Source organism: Homo sapiens, chromosome 1 (assembly GCF_000001405.40).
Source record: "Homo sapiens chromosome 1, GRCh38.p14 Primary Assembly".
Classification (NCBI taxonomy): domain Eukaryota; kingdom Metazoa; phylum Chordata; class Mammalia; order Primates; family Hominidae; genus Homo; species Homo sapiens.
In genome coordinates, this window is record NC_000001.11 from 170270253 (window position 1) to 170289447 (window position 19195).

Sequence of the window (19195 nt, forward strand, 5' to 3'; positions counted from 1 at the left end):
TGTGTCTCAGTTTTGGCTTCAGATATTGTGTTTGGTATGATAAACAACCCCTATGCTTTGTTTCTTTCTTGTTCATTAGTACTTGGGGTCCTGAGTGAAGCAAGGAAAGGTGTTGATATTTCAAAATAAAACAGTAACTGGCTTTGCTGGTATATATTCATTTTGGTAGTCTTGTCTTTCCATCTGAAGAAAAATAACTGAGAATTGACTAACCAACCAGCACTTACTGAGCATCTACTCTGTACCTAGCCATGTGCTAACTTAGAAAGACCTTAAGGGATAAAACTAAATCTTATTTGTCCTTGTAATCACTCTCTCCCCTCCAATGGGCCAAGTTTAATCTACTCGTTAAAACATGTATTGACCCTGTGCTATGAACCAGGCACAGTGTTTAGACACTGGTATGGGAAGATAAATATGTCTGGTATCTGCTTTCAAGGAACCTATAATAAAGGAGGAGAAACAGTCAATGAAGCAAAATGATTACAATATAGCATGGCAGGTTCTGCATCAAATATTTCTTAAGGATGTGATAGAAGCACTTAGAATGGCCAGCTCAAGTATCACTCCTGTTTAGAAGCTTTTTCTAGGTCTTAAAAAGGTTTAACAGAGACCCAATTTATGTTCGTTTAACAAAAGAATGATTATGAAAATTTAACCACAATAAAAGGCCAAAAGTAATAAAATGGCCAGTGAATAGTAGAGGCAGTGAGTGTAGGACTTTGCAGGAAGATCATTTGGGATGGGTGGTTTGTGGGGAGTAGCACTGAATTCCCCAAACCTAATCTAAATGATGGCCCCAAGTCTATTGAGAGTAAATTCTTGGTCTGATTGCCCTATACAGAATTATAGGTCAACTTCTGATGAAGAATGTTCTAATACATTCTTTAGAGTTAAAACCTTGATAATTGCCTGGATTGATTTTTGAGTATGTGATACGTTGATCCTCTGAACAGAAATTATATTAATATTCTATGCAGCTATGAAGCTTCCCTTGCTACTCTTTGTGGGAATTTGGGAAAGAAATCCTGAATGAGTGCAGAAGAAATTCTGTAAAATGACCTACTTATGCTTATTAAAAGGTAGTGAAATCTCTCTAACCAAAAGAGGAGTTCTTCACAGATAAGAAAGAAAGAGTTGGATTCTATTCTGTGTCATCTATCATAATCTGCTAGCTGTGGTCCAGCAGTTGAATATTTATTACCAGCAATGATGGGAGAGGTGAGAAGAGCCTAGTTTGATTCTCCAGATCTAAGGCTGTGTTTCAAACTGCCACTTCGACAAATGCTTTGACTTAAAAGCACTGAGCCAGCTTGATTTGGAACTGTCACCACCAAGAGAGAAAATGTCTGGAATACTGCAGTGTCATTTCTGGGCAGTCTGTCTTTTATGACTTGTCATGCACTACTAAAGGGAGACAAGTGAATACTGTGTACATGAAATCATTAGTGCTGTCATAGCAGGCAGAAGAAAGACCACCAGGCAGAACACAAGACCACCCAACACAAAAAACATGAGCTCCCATCAGCAACATGGTTGAGACTATGTGCCCTTGACATTTGCCTTTCAGAATGTTGAGCCACCAAGCATGCTGTTGGATAATTATTGCTTTGTGATGATATTCAGCAACTCTCACAATGTGGACCACCAGTTCTGGTTTGGGTTTCTTCTTTTTATTAGGACCATCTGAGAATGTCTGTGGTAGAGACTTTGGTGAATTTCATCCGTCCTGTGGCCAAAGGAATGAAAGGAAGAGCAACTTAGTTTGTTAATATGGAAGAATTCAGCAACAAAAAACCCATGACACATGTCTGGAAGAGGCTTCATTGAGGGATTTTTTTATTTTTCGAACAAAGCATTCTAAAATGTTTTACTAATGCTTATTAAAGTGCACTCTCTATGCAAATAGCCTTATAGTAATTAGCCTTATACTAATTTCAGAGCTGTAGTGATATATTTTTAATCCAACAAATGCTTCTTGCTGGTATTTCTATTTCACACAGACTGGGCTATCTCCTCGTTGAAAAACAAGCCAAAACAAAATAAAGCATTATTTTTCCTAAAATAAGCTAATATGGTTTTAAACAATCATAAGGTGTTGTATTTTTAAAATATTTTTGTAAAGCAAAAATTAGTTCAATCTCTTTCCTTTATTTCCCTTTGCCTCAGACTTTTTTTCCTTGCCTTTATTTCATTTTATTTGACTTCTACTTCTTATATTGAATGTGTTGGTCAAATTTTTAAACTTGAATTTACCAATACTGCTTCTCATCTGACTTATTTATTTCCTGGTGACAAATTTTTTGTTCAAGTTGTTTTTTTTTTTTTGCTTTGCCATTGTTGTTGATACTTGCTTCTCTTGTACTCTTGTTCTTTCAGTAAACATTTTATTGAAGTTATTTACAGATTTTCTCAGGCATGTAAAATCTATTAACCAACTACATATCTGTTTCACCTTTATGATTTCAATGCCTTTTAAATTTAACTATTTTTTGAGGAGTTTCTATTCTCTCTGAAAATTTTGAATTCCGAAGAGAATGGATAATTAATCCTTAAATAAGTAACACATTATCTTAGTTTTCTTAAAGAAACTTCAGATTGCAGATCTTTAAATTGACTTAGTATGTTATGTTGTCACTGCTTATAAAATCTACCTTTAGTGGAAGCAAACAAGAATTACTTTAAAAACATATATAGAGAGGTTAGATTTTATACCTAGAGCACAAATCTCTTGATTCAAAACATTTGGCAAAAATACCATATGTTGAAATTGAGTTATCTTCTGCTGAAGCCAGTTCTCCAGCAGTGTCAGTAGTAGAAGTGGGGTTCTTTACTATTCCAGTCTGTTGCTCTAGTAAGCAACATGGGTGTGTACAGGTGAGATTTTCATCCAGCTAACATTCATTCAGAGGGCTATATCTTCTAAAGCTTTCTAACTCAACAAGAGCATAGTATGTAAGCATCCTACACAGTGCGCAACTACAAATATTTGATGAATAAATGGCAGGAGCTAAATATAACTAGAAAAAGCTGTAGAACAAAAAAGAGACAAAATCGTATAAGGGCTAGATCTGGAAAAAAGCATTCATGAAGATCATGGATTTTAAAGCTTAGACTCCTGAATCATCTTTACTTATGCATAATCTGTTTTGGAACCCATTGTATATGCCACTATTTCCAGTAACTGATCCAAAATTGAGTTCCATCCTGGAATGTTGTGGTTTCCAAATACTAAATTGTTTACCAGATATAGAACAATACAGATTTTTCATCAACTTACCCGGGCCTCTTCTGACCACCATTTCCTTAGTATCCTGAAAAGAAATTCTGAGTTTCTCCTACTGGTATATAGGCTCTCAGGCTTCTGTGAATTTGTCTTCTTTCTCACTCAGGAGATTTCTCTGCTTTCCCATGCCCTGCATCATTCTTTCATCCCTAGGGGCTGATGTGTCCATTTCCTGTGGGGTAGATGTTTGGCCCAAACGTGTGTAATTATGAAGTTTCCCTTGGGATCTGGGGTGGTGGGATGGGGATAGTTCTTGGTGCCTGGTGCACACAGTTTGTGTCTCGGGAGAAGAATCATAGAAAACAATTAACTGAGCATTTGTCAAAAATACTGGCACGTGCACATGTCTTTTAGCTCCCCAAAGATTTGCCTTCTGCTTTGCTAACCTCAGGATACTGGCCAGCCAGATGGAAAGACTGCCAAGCACATCCAGCTCATGTAGCCAGAAGGCCACTCCATTTGAGTATCTGGAAATCATTTTTTCGCTCACTTGGGAGGTTCTGGGGCCTCTTTATTTCCTCAGAAACAAGGCCCACCCCAATGATTTCAAGAGCACATTGCAGCCTAGTCTCCACAAGTGAACAAGCTGTGAGAGCTGGAAATCTGCAGCTCCTCTCCTGCTCTCTTTATTGCAGTACATTCTTTTCCCAGCAACATAGGTTTATGGCCTCCCAAGACCCTTCTCACGAAAGGCACTAGAACGCAGTGTCAAGTTAAGATGAGTGATTAGGGAAATCTGTAGCTACTGAGAATGAGGTTCCCGGCTGAGTATCAGAAGCGACCACAGAAGGTGAAGGTTTGCCTCTTTTCTGTCTGTTGTCAGGAATAATGATGAGAAGCAGAAGGCATTGGTTTGCTTCTCAAATTCCCAGCTCTGCTTCTCACTGTTGCCAGTAATGATGCACTGGGTAGGAGACGAAACTTCCTTCTCATATCTCCTTCCTTGCTTTGGTGGTGGACTGGCCACATCTAGAAGGGAAAGAGAAGTGAAATTCCCTGAATGCAGATCGGTGGCCAAGGTCCTACCAAGGTCAGTCTTTGAGCAGGAGAGCTCCTTTACCTGCAGCCCCTCACCATAATGTCTGCAAGGCAATGACACCGATGTGAAAATAAACCCCATCTTTCACTCTGCACTTCTCTTCTTCTTATCTCAGATTAAAATGTCCCCCCTTTTTTAAAAAATCAAGCAAATACAATAAAGATGAAAAAAGTGACTGACAGAAAGAAATTTAGAGGAAATAAATTTATACATGACTGTTCCTCCTCCCCACCCATTCCATTCCTTCAATTGGAAACAATACTTCAGTAATGGTCTTTCTAATACATAAATGTAACCATATCTCTTTCTTGCTTTAAAATCTTCAACTGTTACTTAGAGTCAAGTTAATGGTCTTTAGTATAATACTTCCCCACAACCACCCCAAACTCAAGCCATGCTGAATTATTGCAGTTCCTTAAATCATCAGGTCCTTTAGAGTTTCCACACCTGGACACAAGCCACTCCCCATACTTGAGATGCCTTTATTTCCCTGGTCTTTCAAAACTGCTGATTTAAAATGCCATTCAGATGTCCCTCTCATTTGCAAATCTTCTCCAACTCTACCAAGAATAGCACTTGCTGTCTTTGCACCACGGAATTGTGTGTGTATCTCTTTTATAACATTATATTATACTGGTTTTGTTGCTGTTGTTCACTTGCATGTCTGTCCTTGTGGACTGATTTCTTTGGGGACAGGGATTTTGTGTTATTGTCGCATTAACCCCAAGTTTTCTGAATGACTGCAGTGTAGTAGATTCATTACACTGTTGCAGAATGAGTGGACAAGACTGGAAAATGTAACTAAAGTTTATATATATTTCCCCATTTTCTAAATTCCCACACCTTAAGAAAGATGCTTGTTCCTCGTTTTTCACATTTTGTTGAAGTAGTACAGTCTTTCATCTCTTCCCCTTATTCCCATCTTTATTTCTTAATTTTATCTTTTTTTGGAAAAGAAGGCATTTGGCACAGCATCCTTCTCTCTACTGTCACCATCATGGTTGCATTCTCCTATCAGACACCCAGAGACCTCAGCTCTTGTCAAGAAGCCCTCTCTCATGGCTGCAGTGCTCACTGGGGTCTGTGCTCCCTCTCATTCATTGCCCTCGAGGCCCACGAGTAAAGACCACTTCCCACTATGAGCAGTCCCTTGGTTATTCTCCCTCCCTCCAAATGTGTAAATAGTCCCTTCATTAAATGCTCTTTACCCTTTGAGTGAGCCATCTCTTTCCTGCCTCAATCCTGACTGACAGTCTGGTCAACAAATAATAATTGACTTACTATTATTAATTAATCTCTTAATTTATAAACAAGAATGGGGATTTCTTCCACTTAGTTACATCATATCTACAATGATATCTGTAGGAGTCAGGAGCCAAAGTCTTGAAAATGTTTAGGGACCCCAGAGAAATATTCTCCATTGAAGTTGAAATTTGTATTTTCAGTCTTTCCTTTTACATATCTCTGTCCCACTCATGCAACAAACGTTTATTAATCACTGCTTTCTCTTCATTCTTATCTTTGATTTTTTATCTTTCCCCTTTTCTATGTGAGAATATTTTTAGAGCGTAAGTCAGAGAACTTCAACTACTGGCTATGTAATTGGGCAAGTCTCTGCATCTTGGTTTCCTTATCTATGAAATAGGGAGGATAATACCTCCTTACAGAACCCACAGAGCTGGTGAGTAAATCAAATAAAACAATTGTATGTACAATCCATAATCACATTTACTACTTTTATTGTTTTTGCTGTTTTCATGTTTTTAGTTATTGATGTATTTCCTCCATAGTGCTTCTTTTTTTTTAATAAAAGTTTTTTCTTTCTGCTGTTTTAGGTTTTCTTTCCTTTCCGTGATATTCCTTTCATGCTCCTCTTCCACAAATGCCACCTTCTTGACTAGTCTTTTGAAAATACCCTGCAAGATCCATTGGTCTATACCTCAGCTCCTTTGGGACTGTCCTATTCCTTTTTCTCTCTTGCCTTAGTGGCTTTCTTAAAAGCATGTTTAAAAAAAAAATTCCCCCTGTGGTAAAAGGATAAAAATTCTAGAGAAATGTAAACTTGTACCTAGACTGAGACAGATGTATAATTCTCCTTTGTTGAAATGGTTTGGCTTTGTGTCCCCATCCAAATCTCATCTTGAATTATAATCCCATAATCCTCATGTGTCAAGGACAAGACCTGGTGGGAGGCGACTGGATCACAGGGGCAGTTTCCCCAAGCTGTTCTTGTGATAGTGAGTGAATTCTCACAAGATCTGATAGTTCTGTAAGTGTTTAACATTTCCTCCTACACACACTTTTTCTCTCTCCTGCCGCCTTGTAAAGAAGGTATCTGCTTCTCTTTTCGCCACGATTAAGTTTCCTGAGGCCTCCCAGCCAGGCGGAACTGTGAATCAATTAAACCTCCTCTGTTGATAAATTATCCAGACTTGGGTAGTATCTTTATAGCAGTGTGAGAATGGACTAATACATTTTTTTGTGTGATTTTTGAGAATAAGGTTCATAGTGAATACCAGAAAGGTTTCTAGGGTTCAATTGATCACAGCCTGAATAGTCTCTTCATATGCTACTGTTGTAATTAGTGGTCCAATAACACCACCAAGGTATTGTCCCATTCCTCTTTCTATGTATTCTCATTTCTTATTCTTAATTGTATTTACTTAGTATTTATTGAGCAGCTATTTTGTGCCAGACATTTGCTCAGTGCTGCGTTTTTAAGAAAGGCATTGTCTTCACTCCTGGCAAGTGTACAATCCAGTGGGGATAAAAATGAGCATGCTGGTAATTACAAGGCATGTTAGGAGAAAACACGAATGTGTTCTGGGTTGTTTTGTTCCCTGGTATATCCACAACATCAAGAGCAGTTTCTTGGACATAGCAGGTCCTCAATAAATATTGTTGAATTTATGAATGGATCTCGAGATTCAAAATGTTGAATAGGAGTTCATCAGTTAAAAAGAGTGGGATGAGGCATTGGAACAGGCAGAAGGGATGGCTCAGAGGCAAAATAAAGCATGATAGTTATGGGAAAGTGCAGGTTTCTATTTAGCACGAGCTTTGTGTGGGAATGAGATTTGATGAGAATTGAGCTCAATAAATCAACATATCCCTTGATAATGACTACCACCTACTGTGTGTCTCCCACATATCAAGTACTTTATATACATTATCTTAAACCTTAAAGCTATGAAAAAAAGTATTATTTAGCCTCCTTTGCTCATTCAACTCAATTTCACCTAGACACAAGTGATGGCAGTATTCAAGAATAGCCATATACTTGATCCTGGCCCTACATTTCTTTGATGACTGATAAGATGATCAAACCCTGAAAGTTGAGTTCAACTGCCTCCAGGAAGAACAATACAGATTTTAGAAATGTTCTTTCAGCTGATATCACACTCTTATTATGTGGGAATAAATTTAAGAAGATGCTAGGTAGTAAATAATCTGGAGCTTTCAACTGTGGTGCAATGAGTTTTATTAAACAGTTGGATGCCAAATTTTAATACAATGTGGAATAAGTAAATCAGAGGAAGTAGAACTGGAGCATAACTCTACTCAGAACAAAGAACTCTGAGAAAACACTATGCTGTCTGGTTAACCCATCAAAAGGTGTGAGTTTCGGAGTGGACTAGAGCAGAACCACAGAGATTATGACTATTTTAAATTCTAAGAACTTTCCAAATTAATGATTGGAAATTTATACTGAAGGCTTTTGCTAAGTGGTCCTGAGAATCCTAGGCGTTTTGTGCTAGAGAAGATCTTACAGATATTTTACTGTAACTTCCTTGTTTTGTAGAGGTGGAAACTGAGGTCCAAGAAGTTCAAGGTCTCACAGCTGGCACTGAAGTCAGTGCTCTCTCCACTGCAGTACATTGTCTCTGCAGAAGTTTTCAGTGTTGCTCTTCTATGAGATGGTCTCTTTAATTAAATCATAGGATACACAGAATTTGCATCACTCTTGCTTAATATCTACTTTCCAGTCACTTTGTTGTTTATTTTTTAAAAGTTACTCTAACCTCCTTAAGGATGTGGAAAAACTCCGTGAAGGAAGCAGTGAATTCAGCACTAAAATAACAACTTTTTTCAATCATGACTTTATTGCCATTTCTGTTATTTTTATTAAAGAATCCCAAATCAAAATGATTTGTCCATATATGTGCTTTATTTATTTTGCAGCATGTGGCAAGTATTCATAAAGTATTAGTTTAAGAAACCAAATATGAGATAAATTGAGTTGCTGGCTTACCTTCAGGTCACATAGGAATCACGAGGATCCAGTTCTTAAGAATCTTAGTTGACACCAAAGATCATCATTACCCAGGGTCTCTCCTTGGAGGGGACTTGGTGCACTGAAAAGGGAGATCATGAAGGCCTCAAAGAATACTTGGAGAATCCCCCAAGAAGCGTTGCAATAGTACTTTTCTTATAAAGTGTGAGCCTTTATAAGAGAACTTCATGAAACGACTGTTATGGTGCTTTATTCAGGGCTCTTTGCCATCATCATTGACAGTGAAGCTTTAATAGGAAAACAAAACAAACCAAAAACACCTGGGCTGATGAAAACAAATATGGAAGCATCTGGTACAGTATCTACCAGAGAGAAGATACTTATTACATCTTTATTGATGGAAAGAAGGAAGGAAAAAGGGGTAGGAGAGAAAGAAAAAATGGGCAGGACTTTTAAAAACAGATGATAGATACTAGAGGCTGAGAAGGGTGGGTGGGTGAAGCAGGGATGAAGAGAGGTAGGTTAACAGGTACAAACATACAGTTAGATAAAAGGTACAACTTCTATTGTTCAACAGCAGAGTAGAGTGACTATAGTTACAACAGTGTATTATGTATTTCAAAATAGCTAGAAAAGAGTAGCTTGAATTATTCCCAACACATAGAAATAATAAATAATCAAAGTGATAAATACCTCAACTATCCCGACTTGATCATTATACAACCTATGCATGTAACAAAATATCACATCCACCTCCCTTAAAATATAAAATATTATGTATCAGTAAAAAGTAAAAATACAAAATTTAAAGCAGCTTTTAACACATGAAATAACCAGCTAGCGTCATAATGACAGGATCAAATTCACAGATAACAATATTAACCTTAAATGTAAATGGGCTAAATGCCTCAATTAAAAGACACAGACTGGCAAATTGGATAAGGTGTCAAGACCCATCAGTGTGCTATATTCAGGAGACCCATCTCACATGCAAAGACACATTTAGGCTCAAAACAAAGGGATGGAGGAATATTTACCAAGAAAATGGAAAGCAAAAAAAGCAGGGGTTGTAATCCTAGTCTCTGACAAAACAGACTTTAAACCAACAAAGATCAAAAGAGACAAAGAAGGGCATTACATAATGGTAAAGGGATCAATGCAACAAGAAGAGCTAACTATCCTAAATATATATGCATCCAATACAGGAGCACCCAGATTCATAAAGCAAGTCCTGAGTGACCTACAAAGAGACTTAGACTCCCACGCATTAATAATGGGAGACTTTAACACCCCACTGTCAACATTAGACAGATCAACGAGAGAGAAAATCAGCAAGGATACCCAGGAATTGAACTCAGCTCTGCACCAAGCAAACCTAATAGACATCTACAGAACTCTCCACCCCAAATCAACAGAATATACATTTTTTTCAGCACCACACCACACCTATTCCAAAATTGACCACATAGTTGGAAGTAAAGCTCTCCTCAGCAAATGTAAAAGAACAGAAATTATAACAAACTATCTCTCAGACCACAGTGCAATCAAACTAGAACTCAGGATTAAGAAACTCACTCAAAACCACTCCACTACATGGAAACTGAACAACCTGCTCCTGAATGACTACTGGGTACATAACGAAATGAAGGCAGAAATAAAGATGTTCTTTGAAACCAATGAGAACAAAGACACAACATACCAGAATCTCTGGGACACATTCAAAGCAGTGTGTAGAGGGAAATTTATAGCACTAAATGCCCACAAGAGAAAGCAGGAAAGATCCAAAATTGACACCCTAACATCACAATTAAAAGAACTAGAAAAGCAAGAGCAAACACATTCAAAAGCTAGCACAAGGCAAGAAATAACTAAAATTAGAGCAGAACTGAAGGAAATAGAGACACAAAAAACCCTCCAAAAAATTAATGAATCCAGGAGCTGGTTTTTTGAAAGGATCAACAAAATAGACCGCTAGCAAGACTAATAAAGAAAAAAAGAGAGAAGAATCAAATAGACACAATAAAAAATGATAAAGGGGATATCACCACCGATCCCACAGAAATACAAACTACCATCAGAGAATACTACAAACACCTCTACGCAAATAAACTAGAAAATCTAGAATAAATGGAAAAATTCCTCAACACATACACTCTCCCAAGACTAAACCAGGAAGAAGTTGAATCTCTGAATAGACCAATAACAGGATCTGAAATTGTGGCAAGAATCAATAGCTTACCAACCAAAAAGAGTCCAGGCCCAGATGGATTCACAGCCGAATTCTACCAGAGGTACAAGGAGGAACTGGTACCATTCCTTCTGAAACTATTCCAATCAATAGAAAAAGAGAGAATCCTCCCTAACTCATTTTATGAGGCCAGCATCATTCTGATACCAAAGCCGGGCAGAGACACAACCAAAAGAAGAGAATTTTAGACCAATATCCTTGATGAACATTGATGCAAAAATCCTCAATAAAATACTGGCAAAACGAATCCAGCAGCACATCAAAAAGCTTATCCACCATGATCAAGTGGGCTTCATCCCTGGCATGCAAGGCTGGCTCAATATACGCAAATCAATAAATGTAATCCAGCATATAAACAGAGCCAAAGACAAAATCCACATGATTCTCTCAATAGATGCAGAAAAGGCCTTTGACAAAATTCAACAGCCCTTCATGCTAAAAACTCTCAATAAATTAGGTATTGATGGGACGTATTTCAAAATAATAAGAGCTATCTATGACAAACCCACAGCCAATATCATACTGAATGGGCAAAAACTGGAAACATTCCCTTTGAAAACTGGCACAAGACAGGGATGCCCTCTCTCACCACTCCTATTCAACATAGTGTTGGAAGTTCTGGCCAGGGCAATCAGGCAGGAGAAGGAAATAAAGGGCATTCAATTAGGAAAAGAGGAAGTCAAATTGTCCCTGTTTGCAGATGACATGATTGTATATCTAGAAAACCCCATTGTCTCAGCCCAAAATCTCCTTAAGCTGATAAGCAACTTCAGCAAAGTCTCAGGATACAAAATCAATGTACAAAAGTCACAAGCATTCTTATACACCAACAACAGACAAACAGAGAGCCAAATCATGAGTGAACTCCCATTCACAATTGCTTCAAAGAGAATAAAATACCTAGGAATCCAACTTACAAGGGATGTGAAGGACCTCTTCAAGGAGAACTACAAACCACTGCTCAAGGAAATAAAAGAGGACACAAACAAATGGAAGAACATTCCATGCTCATGGGTAGGAAGAATGAATATTGTGAAAATGGCCATACTGCCCAAGGTAATTTACAGATTCAATGCCATCCCCATCAAGCTATCAATGTCTTTCTTCACAGAATTGGAAAAAACTACTTTAAGTTCATATGGAACCAAAAAAGAGCCCACATCGCCAAGTCAATCCTAAGCCAAAAGAACAAAGCTGGAGGCATCACACTACCTGACTCCAAACTATACTACAAGGCTACAGTAACCAAAACAGCATGGTACTGGTACCAAAACAGAGATATAGATCAATGGAACAGAACAGAGCCCTCAGAAATAACGCCACATATCTACAACCATCTGATCTTTGACAAACCTGAGAAAAACAAGCAATGGGGAAAGTATTCCCTATTTAATAAATGGTGCTGGGAAAACTGGCTAGCCATATATAGAAAGCTGAAATTGGATCCCTTGCTTATACCTTATACAAAAATCAATTCAAGATGGATTAAAGACTTAAATGTTAGACCTAAAACCATAAAAACCCTAGAAGAAAACTAGGCAATACCATTCAGGACATAGGCATGGGCAAGGACTTCATGTCTAAAATGCCAAAAGCAATGGCAACAAAAGCCAAAATTGACAAATGGGATCTAATTAAACTGAAGACCTTCTGCACAGCAAAAGAAACTACCATCAAAGTGAACAGGCAACCTACAGAATGGGAGAAAATTTTTGCAACCTACTCATCTGACAAAGGGCTAATATCCAGAATCTACAATGAACTCCAACAAATTTATAAGAAAAAAACAAACAACCCCATCAAAAAGTGGGTGAAGGACATGAACAGACACTTCTCAAAAGAAGACATTTATGCAGCCAAAAGACACATGAAAAAATGCTCATCATCACTGGCCATCAGAGAAATGCAAATCAAAACCACAATGAGATACCATCTCACATCAGTTAGAATGGCAATCATTAAAAAGTCAGGAAACAACAGGTGCTGGAGAGGATGTGGAGAAATAGGAACACTTTTACACTGTTGGTGGGACTGTAAACTAGTTCAACCATTGTGGAAGTCAGTGTCGCAATTCCTCAGGGATCTAGAATTAGAAATACCATTTGACCCAGCCATCCCATTACTGGGTATATACCCAAAGGACTATAAATCATGCTGCTATAAAGACACATGCACACGTATGTTTATTGTGGCATTATTCACAATAGCAAAGACTTGGAACCAACCCAAATGTCCAACAATGATAGACTGGATTAAGAAAATGTGGCACATATACACCATGGAATACTATGCAGCCATAAAAAATGATGAGTTCTTGTCCTTTGTAGGGACATGGATGAAATTGGAAATCATCATTCTCAGTAAACTATCGCAAGAACAAAAAACCAAACACTGCATATTCTCACTCATAGGTGGGAATTGAACAATGAGAACACATGGACACAGGAAGGGGAACATCACACTCTAGGGATTGTTGTGGGGTGGGGGGAGGGGGGAGAGATAGCATTGGGAGATATACCTAATGCTAGATGATGAGTTAGTGGGTGCAGCGCACCAGCATAGCACATGTATACATATGTAACTAACCTGCACAATGTGCACATGTACCCTAAAACTTAAAGTATAATAATGAAAAAAAAAAGAGACCAAAAAAAAAGAAATTTTGTTAAATTACCGAGATGTTTTAATTTTTAATACTTATATGCTGGACACAATAATAAATGATAGGAATATCTTTCTGTGTTATATGGGGAAGAGCTAGAGATAAAGCAGGATATTTTATCAGGGTCAGTTTCTAGAGTATACCTCTAATTCAAAACCCACAGCACCACCAGTTTCTTCCTCACGAGGCCCTTTTCTTTTCTTTTTTTTTTTTTTGAGATGGAATCTCACTCTGTTGCCCAGGCTACATAAAAATGTAAACTTCTTCAGCCAAGTCCATTCAAGGCTCATCAAGGACTACCCTTTCTACCTTTGTGGACTTCTCTCTATGAAAAACCCCTTGTGTAAGCCCAGGATTTGGATACCACCCTCCTATCCTGAAAATAACGATAGCAGTTGACATTTATTGAGGACTTACCATGTGCCAAGCAGTATTCTAAGTACTTCTCACATGTTATTTCCAGGACAGCCTGTGACGTAGGTATTACCATTACTTTCATTTTACTGATAGGGAGCTTAGGCAGAGAGGTTAGAATTTGCTTACGTTGTACAGAATGGTAACTTGTACAGAATAGTAACTTAAAGGGCCAGGATTAAAACCCAGGCAGTCTGTCTCCAGAGCCCTCACTCTTAATTTCTTTATAAACATCTGCCCCTTTCAGCCTTGCCCTAAGTCTCCCAAATAAATGAAGTCTCATGTGGGCACCTTCTTTCCCAGTTAATGAAAATATTCATGTCCTCTCTTTAAAAGACCACGTGTTGCAGTTACTAGCAATGAGTGAGTCTTTGGCCATCCTCAAAGAGAGCCACAGTGTCTGCTTGATAAAAGCCACAATTTTCCTGACCTGCTCTGGGGCTGGCCCCCTCAAAGAAAATGCAGGCAGACACTTGGCAACTGGACTCTCCCAGACTCTCAAGCACAGAGCTGTGTTAGTGTTGGCAGTGGGGGACGGTTTGCTTCCTCCCCGTTTCATGAACTGTCACATCAGCCTCTTTGATCCTCCCAGGGTCTCAAGTGTGCCAAGATCATTACTCCACGTTATTGCTCTGTTTCAGATAATTGCCAGAGAAAACGCTAAGGTCGGTAATGACCAAGGTAAGGAAATATCGCTCCCTGCACGGTATACCATTTATATATTGCATACTCAGAAAGGCTCCAGAGTGGAGGCATTGCTTATTTTTATTGTCCCAAAGCCATGAGGGGGGAAAAAAGGGAATGAACAGAAATTGATACATCTGGAACAAGAGCCAGGCATGATTTACTCACATTTTTACCTGACCTGAAATTGCTTATTTAGAAAAAAGAAACATTATAAAGTCTCAGGAAAATGTCATGAATCAGAGCCAGCATGATTTCACATTGGGGCTTCATAAACTGTGTGTGTGTGTATGTTTTTTTTTTTTTTTTAAAGCAAAGAAACTGTCCAGGAAAATCAAATGAGCCAAAGGTAGCCCTGCCACCATGACCATCACCATAGCAACCGCGTAAGAGCATGATAGGACAGCACGGGAGCCCCACCGCTCAGGACTGCAAACGGATGGAAAACTGCTGGTTCATTAGAGGCCATTCTTACTATGAAAAGAGGATGGGCACTGACTTGGCAATGTAACAAACAAGAGACAGCAGACTTTCACTATTACGCTATTGCCTCAAAAATGAACTAATCATACACTACATCACTGAAACACACAACTACAGGAAGTCGGAAGAGAGAGGGAGGAAAAAGTTGATTAAAGCCTTGCATTCTACTTTAATAGTTCCCTTACTTCATGTGCTCTTAGCACTTTGTAAGCAATATGAACACAGTTTTGAAGCAATTAGATAATAAATGCTATTATTATAGCTATCAGCTGGAAGAGACTTTAGAGACCATCAATTTTTTTTAATTAACTGAATTCCAGGCTTTATTTGGTTTTCATCTGTTTTTTCATTAATGTCCTCTTTCTAGTCCGGGATTTTACCCAAGGTAGCACAATGCATTTAGTTGTCATCTCTCCCCAGTCTCCTCTGGTTTGTGACAGTTTCTCAGTCTTTCCTCTTTTTTCTCAGTCTTTCCTTTTTTTAAAAAAAAAAAATGACCTTGGAAGTCCTGAGGAGTGCTGGCAGGGTATCCTGTAGAATGTTCTCCAATCTGAGTTTGTCTGATGTCTTTCTCATAATTAGACTGGGACTGGGATTATGGGTTTCTGGGAAGAAGACCATAGAGGTGAAATGCCCTTCTCATCATATTCTATTGAGGGTATATGATAACCACATGACATCTCTGGGGATGTTAACCCTCATCACTTGGTTAATGTCATGTTGGCCATCTTTCTCCTGTAAAGGAGAAAAGTGTAAAGTTACTATTTTTCCCTTTCCCTATTCTATTGCTTGGGGTGGAGTCGTTAAGCCTAGTCTACTCTCAGGGTATGTGTAGAGGGGTGTCAAGTTTCACCTTTTTTTAGTGGGGGGAGTAGTTACATATATTATTTGAAATTCTTCTGTAAGAAAGATTTAACTTTTCATTTTTTAAATTTAGTCATTTATTTATATTGGTATGCACTTATGTAGAGTCACAGATTGATTATCCCTAATCCGAAAATCCAAAACCCGAAATGCTCCAAAATCCCAAACTTTTGGAGCACTGACATGATGCCACAAGTAGAGAAGTCTACACCTGACTTCATGTGATGGGTTGCAGTCAAAATGCAGTCAAAACTTTGTTTCATGCACAAAATTATTTAAAATATTGTATAAAATTACCTTTAGGCTATGTATATAAAAATCATAAATGCATTTCATGTTTACACTTGGGTCCCATCCCTAAAATATCTCATTATATATATGCAAATTTCCAAAAATCTGAGAAAGTCTGAAATTAGAAGAACTTCTGGTCTCAAGCATTTCAGATAAGGATAGCCAACTAGTATTTCATATTTTGGGTTATAATCTAATGCTATGTTATTTATTTTGTTGAACAAGTTACTTCAACTTTGGCCATTGGCAGTGCCTTTGGGTTGGCTTCTGATTTCCTTTGACATGCTCCCATCCATTTGTGTGTTGAGCACTTCCTTCCTTTTGGCACTACAAGATCCTCCAGTTTCTTCTATTTTACCTGCCTCAGCCCTCACATTAGGTATTTCTCCAAGGAACCCTGGTTCCTTTTATTCAAGAATGGTATTTAAAAACCAAAGAAACCATCAATTTTTAACTGCTTCATTGGTCAAATAAAGAAGCTGAGGTGCAGATGACAAAGCAAATTGCCTGATGCATCATCTGATATTGAGTTAATGGCAGGCAGGGATTAGAAATCTGGGCCTGACCCCTAGTTTGATATTGTTTTCAATACTCCAGTCTTTGCTATATATCTTTGCTTTTCCAGCCAGCTTGTGAGCTCCTTTGAGGTAGGAAGTATATTCTCTGCTCTTTGTAGAGTCTCCATTGTGCCTTATATAAAGCTGGGCACGGTGCATATAGTAAATGCATGAAGAGACTCTCTGCTGCATCCTATTTAGTCTCACTCTTCTCTGCTCAGGTCAGACCCTCATTCACTCTTGCTCTAGACCATTGCAGTTTCTACAAATACAGCGGTTTTCTTCTTTTCTGATCTATCCTACTCATTGTTGCAACATAAAAGATGAAATTGCAGAGTTCTGAAAATCTCTTTCTCAACACCCATTTCATAAAGTTAAACTCACAACTCAAATTCATTCCCTTTTTCTGTTTATCTGAAATTATGTGTGGTTTCCTATGACTGTATTAGCAAACACTGCTTCATCATATATTGCCCAGAGAAGAGGGACCCTCAGATATAACCTCCCTCAGCTTTCTCGTTTTCTATCACTAGTTCTATCTCTGTCTTCCACCAACCTTACATTTTTCATTTCTATTCCAGAATAAGTGTCCCTACTTCTTTCACAGGTTTTAACCAGTGTTAAACCTGACTTCTCTGAGATAGGGCTCCAGTGGTTATTATTTCTGAACCTTAAATTCCTACTCTTTCGTTTTCTATTGGTGCATTCTGTTGAACACGTTTATAGGCTGAAGTTTTCCTCATCCTAAATAAATAGACACATGAAAAATCTTCCCTAGCCCTTTCTTCTTTACATCATGCCATTTCTCCTTCCATTCATTTTTACATTACTCAAGAGAAGTCTCTACTCACAGCCTCTACTTTCCCACTAATTGCTAACTGACTTATCCTACCTGAATTTAGATTCCCCCACCTAATTAAGCCTTTACAGTATCCCTAAAGTGTTATGAATGATCTCTTAAAAGATTTTAATGACTCCATCAGTCATGATCTAGTAGGAAATGGCACATTCAAAGGGTTTAATTTTATAAAGTGAATTTTGGTGAGGTGAAATAACGCGGTGGGAGGTTAAAGAATCCAAGCAGGGTGATGAGGTATCCAGAGATCAACAAGAGCGGGAAGGCAAGTGGAGAAAGAAGTGTTACCAGAAATAAGCAAGAGCTGTAGCTGCCTGATATGAGCTGTGGTCTTAGTAGAGGAAAATCGGCTTCTGTCAAAACTATAGACCATCAGGGAGCGGGAGCAGAAGAAATTCCCTTACTTATCTTTGCTTTTACCCATGATGTTCTGTTGGTGTCTCCCATTGGTTAACCCAATCTAAAGACAGAGGGCAGGAAGCTCAAGTAACACAGTTTGTAGAGGTCAGCCCTCTAGGGGGTTCAGGAGACAGATAAAGGATTGCGAGGGGCAAAGAGAATAACCAGCATAATAACTTATCTGATTTAACAACTGGGAAGATTTTTCTGCTCACTTTTTAAAGTTTTTCCTCCCTAATGCTATCTCCTGACATCTTTCAATAATGCATGGATTTAAAAGATAAATGAGCACCTGCTCTGTTGAGAGGGCTGTGTTAGACACTGAAGATTCAGTGGTGCAAAGAAAAGTGCTCTCCCTTCCTTCAGAAACCTTATGTTCTGAAAATTCCTTTTCAGTCTGCTCTACCAGCTCTTTCTCTGCCTTCTTGGTTTACTGTTGCCATTCTTCAAAATTCTCTCCTCATTTTATCCCCAGATATTTTTGTTCTCTGGGATAAATAAACCCAATTTATGCCCAGAGATTTTTGTTCTCACATGTATGCGAGGATTTCCAAATCCACATTCTAAACTCAGCTTCCTTAGCTTATTAGAAAATAATTTAAGGTGCTCAATATGATGGCCTCAATCTTTTTCCTCTTATCTTATGGTCTCTTACATTCTCTGTACTCCTCCTTCCCATAAGAGGATCCAAGTCAGGGTTTCTGTTTTGTTATGTTTTAATCTGTTTTTGTTCATTGATGTATCATAAGTGCCTATAATAGTATCTGGCACATAATAGGTGCTCAATAAATATTTATCGAATAATGAATGAATTCCTTCCAGTGAAATCAGATTATTCTCTACTCCCTAACCATATGACCTTGCTTATTTCTGCACTTTTGCTCACATAAATTTTCTTACATCATTCTAGCATCTGTAATCCAATCTTCCTCCAAAATGCAACTTAAATATCTTTCCTATGAGCCCTTTAAGATACTGCCCAAATAGAATTAATCCATTCCCCTTCTGTATTGCCATTATATCTTGTTTATATTTCTGCTTCAGCACTACTATTATTTCATATATTATAGTTAAATGTATGTATTGCTTATCTCATCCTACAACATCACTAAAATTATCTAGGCTAAGTCATTGTCATTCCTTCTTCACATTTCCAAAGAGCCTGGAAAAGTGTTTTG

The 19195-nt window shown here is 38.1% G+C and overlaps 1 long non-coding RNA gene across 1 annotated transcript, besides 1 other annotated feature; it reads right to left on the reverse strand.

Moving 5' to 3' along the window:
* Window positions 1–1152: 1152 nt before the first annotated feature.
* Window positions 1153–13956, reverse strand: LINC01142 (long intergenic non-protein coding RNA 1142). The gene is made up of 4 exons (NR_026957.1): window positions 13887–13956; window positions 8578–8680; window positions 3281–4255; window positions 1153–1729 (listed from the first exon to the last, which is right to left on the reverse strand). It is a non-coding gene; the product is annotated as a long intergenic non-protein coding RNA 1142 (long non-coding RNA).
* Window positions 17210–17379: an enhancer, noted in NCBI's record as "experimental_1277 CRE fragment used in MPRA reporter constructs". NCBI's record gives its function as "activates a minimal promoter by MPRAs in K562 erythroleukemia cells, with activity observed for the introgressed 1:170256688 variant allele {active_cell/tissue: K562}" and the evidence as "EXISTENCE:reporter gene assay evidence [ECO:0000049][PMID:34662402]".